This window comes from Homo sapiens, chromosome 11 (assembly GCF_000001405.40).
Source record: "Homo sapiens chromosome 11, GRCh38.p14 Primary Assembly".
Lineage (NCBI taxonomy): Eukaryota > Metazoa > Chordata > Mammalia > Primates > Hominidae > Homo > Homo sapiens.
The window spans coordinates 19321462-19331736 of record NC_000011.10 but is presented as its reverse complement, the minus strand read 5'-3'; the positions used below and the strand labels follow the sequence as shown (position 1 = coordinate 19331736).

The 10275-nt window shown below is 41.2% G+C and overlaps 1 annotated feature.

The window, feature by feature from the left end:
• Positions 4556-4705: an enhancer, noted in NCBI's record as "active region_4516". NCBI's record gives its function as "activates an Ori minimal core promoter by ATAC-STARR-seq in GM12878 lymphoblastoid cells {active_cell/tissue: GM12878}" and the evidence as "EXISTENCE:reporter gene assay evidence [ECO:0000049][PMID:35858748]".

Genomic DNA, 10275 nt, shown 5'->3' with positions numbered 1-10275 from the left:
AAAGATGTCAAATGCAATATATATTGAGCCACAGACCGTGTAGTAGTCACAAAAGGAGAAAGTGAAACGAATATGCTCCTGTTAAACCTTTCTTCTGTTCACTGCTAGTTGGCAGAGAGAAGGGAGAAGGGAAAATAAATAAATAAGTAAAACCCAATCAGAAAACCTGGAGGCCCAGTGGAGAACCCTTTACTGAGGCTGACATGGGAAGTACGTATGCTCCAGGTTACAAAGGATTTTGAATAATGTGTGTCCCTGAGTGTTTACATAGAAGTTCTCATCTATTTTATAAGCAACTCTGCTCTTCCCTCAGAAGTTGGGACAAATAGGACTCAGGTCACTCAGAGGAAAGATAATGGGTCCTTGCCCATGCCTCTGAGATCAGGTAAGCATCCCTCACAATTCAACCTGCCCCCATGGCCTTCTGAACTTGGGCACCATTGTGGACCCAGGGAGCTACGATTTGGATGGGCAGAGGGAAAGGAACTGCTGGTTGTTAATTTGTGTTTTCAGACCACACATCCAGTCTCAGGAAATTAAATCACAGATTCAAGCTGGATGTTCCCCAGTCCTGTGATTCTTAATGTTTTGAAGGGCCAGTACTCTTGGAAATCTGATGGAAACTTTGGACTCATCCCCAGACAACACACTCAAGCACGATGCACACATGCGGATGCATACCCTATTTTTCATACTATTTCAGAGTATTTATGAAGCCACGTGAACCTTCTAAGATCCAAAGATAATTTGATTCATAAGACTTTTTAATCCTTGAACAGGAAATTTCAAGTGACATCCACTTAGGATAAATAACAGTATAAAAACAAACAAACAAAACACATCCTTTCTGTAGCAAAGACCAGCTGCTCCCCTTGCTGGTTTTTGCGTGACTCTTACAAATTTCAGGGACTCATGTGGTAAAAGCCCAATTTCCCCTCACATTCCAGAATCCAATCACTCCCTCATGTAATGGCCTTCCTTCCAAATATTCCCTGCGACATCCCTAAGGCACATCCCTGTTGTCCCTCCTAAGCAGCTGGGCAGTCAAGGCAAGCCTCATTGCAAAGCTGTCAAGGCAAAGGCAAGAGGTTACATAATTCCAATTAGCAGAAGCCCCACCAACTCTAAACAGCTCCTTACCACTTCATCATCCTTCCCCTCCGAGGAAATAATCACAATTGCCACTAACATCCTGGAAACAAAAGCCAACAGAATAAACACAGTGCTCTCTGGCAGACCTCAGGATTAAAATGTAATCTCAAAATAAAGTCTAATAACTTTTCCCCTTTTGAACACACTTGGAATAAAATTAGCATATAAATCAAAGCTTAATTAGGACATTGTAACACTGAACAGCACCGGCTGGTATTAAGGGTTTCAGGCCCAATATGATGCATCAAATAAACACCGTAATTAGAGAACAAAATCAGGGTGGTCTCCTGGTAATCAATCACCCAGCTAGGTTCAAGCTTTTCAACTTGAGGGTCATCTCTGCTTTCTGTCTTGTGGATCTTGCCTTCCAGCCAGTCTCTCCCAAGGGATGTCATGCATCTTCCAATCTGTGTTTCTGGCACATCTCTCCAGCTCTTGGCTCTCAAAGGGGAGTCCTGGCACCAAGCAGGGGTGGGGAAACTTGCAGATTGCTCAAAACAATAGTTTGTGGGCTTCCAGAATGAAGCATTTATTCCTTCTATGAGCTGTGCTATGCCCATTATCCAATCTAGACAAATACCTGCCTGGGACAGAAAGTCAAGAATCCCTGAGAACCGTCCCCTCTGCTTTCACTATTCTCCAGCCACATTGCCATCCTTGCTGTTCCACACACACACTAAACAAATGCCTGCCTCAAGGCCTTTGCACAGGCTGCTCCCTCTCCCCAGAGTGCTCTTCTCCCACAAGGCTTTCTCCCTCACTTCCTTCAGATCTCCCCACCAAAATGTCACTTCATCATAGAGGTCTTTCTCACCTCCCTTATCTAAAATAGCACTTCCTAACCCTTTCTAACTCCCTTCGTTGGAGAGTTTGAGGGGCTACAAAATAGCACCCTTCTACTCCGTGTTAGTTCTGATGCAATAAAGAATAAGAAAAAAAAAAAGCAAGGCAGATGGGAGAACAAAATCTCACCTTTATTTCCAGTACAGTTGATATTAGAACATGTGGCTGATATCTGTGGGCAAAAGGGCTTCTGGGTGCTGACATGCAGACTAGGAAGCGGGGTCACCTAAGAGGTAGGGCAGGAGGAGCAGAGCTGGCTGGAGCTTGCCATGGACAGGCTCACTCCCTGCAGAATGGAAGAAAGAAAGAGCAGGATCTTATGTGCCCTGTTCTTTATCCCAAAATCACCAAAAGTGAACTGAGCCCTTCCGCCAGGAGGAGTGTTCTCAAGGGCAGGTGCTCCCACCCCACATGTCCTAGTATAATTACCCATGAGCTCCTTGAAAAGCTACCTGATTTCTCATCTGCTTCAGCTTTCCTGACCTCCGTGAATGCAGGACACTATTTGTCTTGCTCACTGCTGTATTTGCTGCACCGTGGCAAGCCCTCCTCCCTTGGGAGGAGTCCATGCAGCCTGAAGTTGGGCTTGGGTTTACAGTTTCCTGGGGCTGGGCCACCTGTTTGAGGTCATGCTGGGGCACAGGCAGAAGTCTCCTCCAGTTTCTCTGGCTTCCTCATCCTGCTTCTCTTCCTAGTGTCTGCTGGCTCCCTGACACTGCTCCCAGACCACCAGAGCCCTGCATGGGAGCAGAGATCCCTGCCTGAGTCACATCTCTTGAGCATCTGAGCTTCACCAGGCTCTGGCTCTGCGGGGAGTGGGGGTACCCAGAAGAGGTGTCACAGACCATGCTCAGGGAACGCAGCCTGGTAGGGAAGGCAGATGTATAAATATCTTCAGTGTGGTCATTTCTGCATTAGACTGACCAATACTAATGACTAATACTGATGATAGCTTCCATTACAGAGTATCCTCTACGGGCCGAACCTAAAGCTGAGTAATTCACATCTATTAGCTAATTTAGTCCACGATTATTTTATGAAACAGTGACTATTCTAGTCCCATTTCACAGGTGAGAAAATTGAGGCTGAGAAAAGTAAATTACTTGTTGAGAGTCCTGCAGGTGGTAAGTGATGAAGTCGAGATTCAAGTCTAGGTCTGTCTAACTACAAAGCTGAAGAGTCTAAGCTCTTCCTGCCTAACCTTTCCCCTCCTGGGTTCATCTTCTCCCCAGGCTACCTCCCTCCACGCTGGCCAAGAATAAGGGATGAATGACCCCACAATGCTGCAGGCTCGGCAGCCTCTGCCTCTTCCCACATAAGATCATTTCCCAAACAGGCGCTCATCTCTCCCCGTCTTGTTCATGCCCTGCAGGGAACCTGTGTCCTTATTCTGAAAAATCCTTCTCATCCTTCTAGGCCCAGTTCAAATGTCACCACCTCTATGACCACTCTCCTAGAGTCAAATTTAATCACACTGCTTCCCCATTCATGTCAAGAACATGCCCCTATTTCAGTGGTTCTCAAAATGTAGTCTCTGGACCAACAGGATTTGCTGCAAGTAGAACTTGTCAGAAATGCAAATTCTTGAATCCCAACCCAGAGTTACTTCAATATTAGAATTACTGAGGGTGGGGCCAGCAGTCTATGTTTTAACAAATCCTGCAGCTTTCATACAAAAGTTGAAAAGCACTGCTCTATTTTAACACATCTCATTAGAGCCACATATATAGGTTTGAGAAAATTTTTATTCCGGGAGGACCTACAGGGCCAGGACTGGATGCTGTTGAGAGTTTGTCACACAGTGTCACACAGTAGGTGCTTAGTTGGCTTTGAAAGTGCTTTTTTCCCCCAGCAATTGCCTGGCAACCATGGCTTAGTGACGTTAGCAATGACAGCCAGACTGAGGTTGGAGGCATGGGCCTTTTGCATCCTTTGCAGCAGGCTTCCTCCTCTTGTCTTGTACCTGGCTTGTTGAAAAAAAGTTTGTGATTTTTCCTTCATTTATTTCACAAAAATTTATTGAGTGCCTACCAGAGACCAGACACCACTAAATATGAGAATACAATGACAAGTAAAATGCCCACTCTATCCTCATGGGGCTAGCACAGGAGACACATACTCGTCAAATAAAAAAGGCCAACTCAAAGTGGCATTTACATTTATTAGCTTATTTAATTGTCACAAGTAACCCTAAAAGTGAGTAGTGGTGTCGTCTCCTGTCTACCAATGAGGAAGTGAATAAAGAAAGGTGAAATACCTTGCCCAAGTTCACGCAGTTTGCACATGACAGAGCTGAAGTTTCAACCCTGCAGGCATTTGTTCCTGCTCTTAATCACTACACAATGCTGCCTTAAAATAATTACACAACAAAATTATAAACATTGATAATCACTTTGAAAAACAGTACATAAGAGCACATGACAGGGAAACCTTATGTAGTCAGTGAGGGGAGAGGGTGCAGTCAGAGAAATACCCTGGAAGAGGCCACATCTGAGCTGGAACCTGAAGGATAAGCAAGAGTTAACTTGCCAATCAGTGAGTCAAGGCAAGGGTGGGTACAGATGAGGCCTCTCCCCAAAGAGGAATAGCACTTGTAAAAGCCTTGAGAAGGAGGCCTGGGGGAAGTTGCCAGTGGCCACAGCACTGGGTTGAGGGTGGAAGAGGATGTGGATAGAGGCTGAAGGTATGGGCGGTGTCAGACTGCCATGACAACAGTCCTTATCCTTGGCCCACTTTTCCAAAGCAGTGTTGGCAAACCAAGGGTTCCACATGGATGGATGGCTCCACTGTGTGTGAAAATGTGGCTGAAGTGCAGGAAAATCTCATCATTCATCCACTCAGTCATTCAGAGATATTGATTGTGTGCCTACCATGTGCCAAGAGCTGTTGTAGGTATCGGGGACACAGCCCCATTCTCCTGGAGCATATCCAAAGCAGGCCTGGGGAGAGAGGACTCTCTGACAACTGACATTTGCATTCCTTCATCAGCACTGAGCCTGGGCTGTGGGCTGGGTACTGTGTTAGGTGTTCTATTGGATGGTCTGGTTTGCATTTTAAAAAGAAATTGAAGGCACATTCCAAAATCACAACTATACCTCCTAGTGGCTAAAATGGACATCTCTTAATAATTTCAACAACCACTTATAGCTCAGGATTTGAAACATTCCTGAAGAAGCAGGCATTAGATAAATCATTTTGGACTGTTCCATAAAGTGAACTTTGCTAATAGAATCTAGGGTAATGAAATGAATGTCTCCAGACCTGTAATTCATTCTGCATAACATTTACACACTCCACTCTGCTGAAATCTTGTCAAATGACTTCAGTCAGCAAAGCTCAGCCTGAAGAGGAGGTGGAGAACTAGCACAAATTTGTTCAAAAATGCCTTCCAGAAAGCATTTTCAAAAGCTGTCTTCATTGCTTCTTGTTTTTTTCTTTTTTCTTTTTATTTTAAGTTCGGGGGTACATGTGCAGGTTTGTTATGTAGGTAAACTTGTGTCATGGGGTTCTGCTATACAGATTATTTCATCACCCAGGTATTAAGCCTGATATCCATTAGTTATTTTTCTTGATCCTGTCCTTCCTTCCACCCTCCACCCTCAGGTAGGCCTCAGTGTCTGTTGTTCCCCTCTATGTGTCCATGTGTTCTCATTATTTAGCTCCCACTTATAAGTGAGAACATGTGGTATTTGGTTTTCGGTTTTTGCATTAGTTTGCTAAGGAAAATGGCCTCCAGCTCCATCCATGTACCTGCAAAGGACATGTTCTCATTCATTTTTATGGCTGTATAGTATTCCATGGTATATATGTAGCACATTTTCTTTATCCAGTCTACCACTGATGGGCATTTAAGTTGATTCCATGTCTTTGCTATTGTGAATAGTGCTGCGACGCGTGCATGTGTCTTTATGATAGAATTATTTATATTCCCAGTAATAGGATTGATAGGCTTAATGGTGTTCTGTTTTTAGGTCTTTGAGGAATTGCCATTCTGTTTTCCACAATTGTTGAACTAATTTACACTTGCACCCACAGTGTATAAATGTTCCTTTTCCTCCACAACCTCCCCAGCACCTGTTATTTTTTGACTATCGTATAATAGCCATTCTGACTGGCGTGAGATGGTATCTCATTGTGGTTTTGATTTGCATTTCTTTAATGATCAGTGGTGCTGAGCTTTTTTTCATATGCTTGTTGGCCGCATGTATGTCTTCTTTTGAAAGGTGTCTGTTCATGCCTTTTGCTCACTTTTTAACAGGTTTATTTGTTTTTTATTTCTTATAGATTTGTTTAAGTTCCTTATAGATGCTGGATATTAAACCAGATGCATAGTTTGAAAATATTTTCTCCTATTCTGTAGGTTGTCTGTTTACTCTGTTGTTAGTTTCTTTTGCTGTGCAGAAACTCTTTAGTTTAATTAGATCCCATTTGTCAATTTCTGCTTTGTTGCATTTGCTTCTGGCATCTGTCATGAAACCTTTGCCTGTTCTCATGTCCAGAATGGTATTGCCTAGGTTGTCTTCCAGGGTTCTTGTAGTTTTGGGTTTTACATTTAAGTCTTTAATCCATCTTAATTTGAATTTTGCATATGGTGTAAGAAAATGGTCCAGATTCAATCTCCTGCACATGGCTAGTCAGTTATCTCAGAACCATTTATTGAATAAGGAGTCCTTTCTCCATTACTTGTTTTTGTCATCTTTGTCAAAGATAAATGGTTGAGTGTGGGCAGCCTTATTTCTGGGCTCCCTATTCTCTTCCAATTGTCTGTGTGTCTGTTTTTGTACCAGTACCATGCTGTTTTGGTTACTGTAGCCCTGCAGTATAATTTGAAGTCAGGTAATATGTTGTCTCTAGCTTTGTTCTTTTTGCTTAGGATTGCCTTGGTTATTGGGGCTCTTTTTTGGTTCCATATGAAGTTTAAAAGAGTTTTTTCTAGTTCTGTGAAGAATGTCATTGATAGTTTTACAGGATTAGTATTGAATTTGTAAGTTGCTTTCGGCAGTCTGGCCATTTTAACAATATTGGTTCTTCGTATCCATGAGCATTGCAATGTTTATCCATTTGTTTGACATCTCTGACTTCTTTTAGCAGTGTTTTGTAGTTATGGAAGAGATCTTTCGCCTCCTTGGTTAGCTGTATTCCCAGGTATTTTATTCTTTTGTGGCAATTGTGAATGAGATTTTGTTCCTGATTTGGCTATCGGCTTGATAGCTGTTGGTGTATAGGAATGCTACTGATTTTTGTACATTTATTTTGTATTCTGGAGATGTCACTGAAGTTATCAGCTTAAGGAGCTTTTGGGCTGAAAGTATGGGGTTTTCTATTTATAGAGCCATGTCATTTGCAAACAGGGATACTTTGACTTCCTCTCTTCCTATTTGGATGCCCTTTATTTCTTTCTCTTGCCTGATTGCTCTGGCCAGGACTTCGAATACTATATTGAACAGGAATGGTGAGAGAGGGCATTCTTGTCTAGCGCTGGTTTTCAAGGGGAATGATTCCAGCTTTTGCTTATTTAGTATGATGTTGGCTGTGGGTTTGTCATAGATGGCTCTTATTATTTTGAGGTATGTTCCTTTAATACCTAGTTTATTGAGAGTTTTTAACATGAAGGGGTGTTGATTTGGCATCAATATGCAGATACCACTGAAACTGTGACATGTTGGTTTCTCACTGCACACAGAATAAAAATCAAATTCCTTTGCTTTGTCTATAAGGTCCTACATAACATGGAAGTCCCCCATATCTGATACTACCACTCTCCTCACTCCTCCAAACCAACATTTTCTGGGCACCTCAAATAAGTCAAGTTCATTCCCATCACAAAGCCTTTTTTATTGCTATTCCACTGCCTAAAAGGCTATTTCATAAGATTCTCACATGGCTGGCTCTTAATGTCACAGCTCAGATGTCACCTCCTCAGAAAGACTTTTGCTGATCACCTTAAAGTTCCTTACCTTTAGCACTCACCATTCTCTGAAATTTTCTTGCTCTTTAAATTTACCTGTTTTTTCTTGAATCTGTCTCCCCCTACTGAAATACAAGCACCATTTAGAGCAAGGTCCATGCCATATTTTCAGTTTGAACACTTTGACCTTGGAAGCTAAGTGTGTAAGATGCAATGCCTGGGTTCCTGAATCACTGGTTGGAGAAGAGCTGCCAGGTGATAATGAACAACTATTTTTGTATTTCAAATGAGATTTGGCAGCTTGTCTGTTACATTAGCAAACATATCCTTAGCTAATCCAATACTTTTTGACCATTTTCTGTCAGGTTGTTAGAACTTGTTTGATTGATTGGTAGAAGTCTTTTATATTCTGGATAGAAATCTTTTCTATGTTACACAAGTAGCAAATATTTTCTCTGGGTTTGTCACTCAACTTTGAACTTTCTTTACGGTGTCTTTGTTTTACAGACATTCACAATTCTTATCTAGTCAAATCTGTCAGTATTTTTTAACATATTATAGACTCTGTTATATGCTAAGAAGGGTTTTCTCTATACCAAGATTATAAAAGATACTCTCCAAAGTTTCCTTCTAGTTCTTCTATTTTCCAGCTACAATTATTCTTATATATTTTATAGATATTTTTGTTATAAGCACCTTTTCTCCTAGTTGCCTAACTAGGTAATGTTAATATATAGGAAGGTTACTATTCTGTATTCAGCACCTTAAGTACAAATTCTTAAAAGTCAATCTTCTTAGATAGTTCAACCAAACAATTTTATCATCCTCAAATAATTATAACTTTGGCTCTTTCCCTCCAATATTTGTATCTCTCATTTCTTTATCTTATCTTACTGCTTTGGCTAAGACTCCAACACCATCTTGATTAATCCCAGGGACAGTATGTGTCCTTATACTTTTCTTATCTTTACTAGTGAGGCCTCTGTTATTGTACCATTAAATGTGATGTTTGCTCCCTTCTTATGCTCTTTATATTTTAAAACCCTCCTTCTCTTCAAAATTTACTAAAACCTTTAATTAGGAAAAGATGATGAATTTAGTAAAATCTGTTTCAGCACTCAGAGAGAAAGTCATATGGTTTTTCTCCTTTAACCTATTAGTAAAATGAATTCATTAACAGACTTCCTAATGTTAAGCAATATCTGCTTTCCTGGAACAAAACTTTACTCTGTCATCATATGTTGTACTTTTAATACTTTTCTGGATTTGATTTGCTAATATTTTATATAGAATTCTTTTGCAACTACATTCATAATCATGTGTATCTATTTGGGGCCAGTGCTCTTGAATGTTGGAAAACATGATATTGAAAATCATAGATCCTCATGAATTAGGTGGTTTATTAAAAGGATACCTGGGATAAAGTAACAGAATGTATAGGTGTATCTGAGGCTGTTGGTGAATCCCTCAGCCAAGCCAATCTACTCCTCATTTTAGAGGCTCTGCCGATGCTCTGGAACTAGAAAAGAAAACCAGAACATGTGGGAGATTTGAGGTTTGGTGAATTTAATATTGAAGACGCTAAAGAGGTGTTCAATCATTGCAGTAAAAGATAATAGAGGCTAAAGTAACAAAAGAAACCGAGACTGCACCCACGTATCTGGGTGGGACCTCTCTAGCTGAGAATAAGCAGAAAAAGGAAGCATACAGGAAGACATCGTGGGCATTTTTCCTCCAGAATCTTACAAGCAAAGGGAATTTCATCTTGAAATTTAATGTCTCAATGGGACCATAATAATGAAAGAGAGTTTACATTCAAATTTGGAATGTTTCAGATTGTGTGGGTGTGTTGTACATACTTTGTACAAGCATATACAACATGGCTAGGCATAATTTGAGATGGAAATTGAATGTAAGATAAATTTTTTGATAATGTAGAATTACCTGGAGTGTTCCTAAGATACAGTGACCTAGAGTTAAGAAATGCTTTTCTGATAAGTGCTTGAGGGGATGGATACCCCATTCCCCACGATGTGCTTATTTCACATTGCATGCCTGTATCAAAACATCTCTTGTACCCCACAAATATATATGCCTACTATGTACTCACAAAATTGTTTAAATTATGAAAAAAGAAGTGCTTTCCTACTGCCCACATCAGAGGCTACATTGCACATCTGGTCCTAGGAGAATAGAAAGGAGCAGTAGGAGACTTCAGGTGAGCAGCCTCACAAAGGTGAGATCAGGACCCTTCTGATAAGAACAGCGTCACCCCTGGAGGCTGACCAGTGGATTAAGACAGAACAAAAGGAGGGGGGTATAGAGCAAGAGGACCCTTCAGCACCTGTGCCGTGAATCCCAACTCTGCCTGC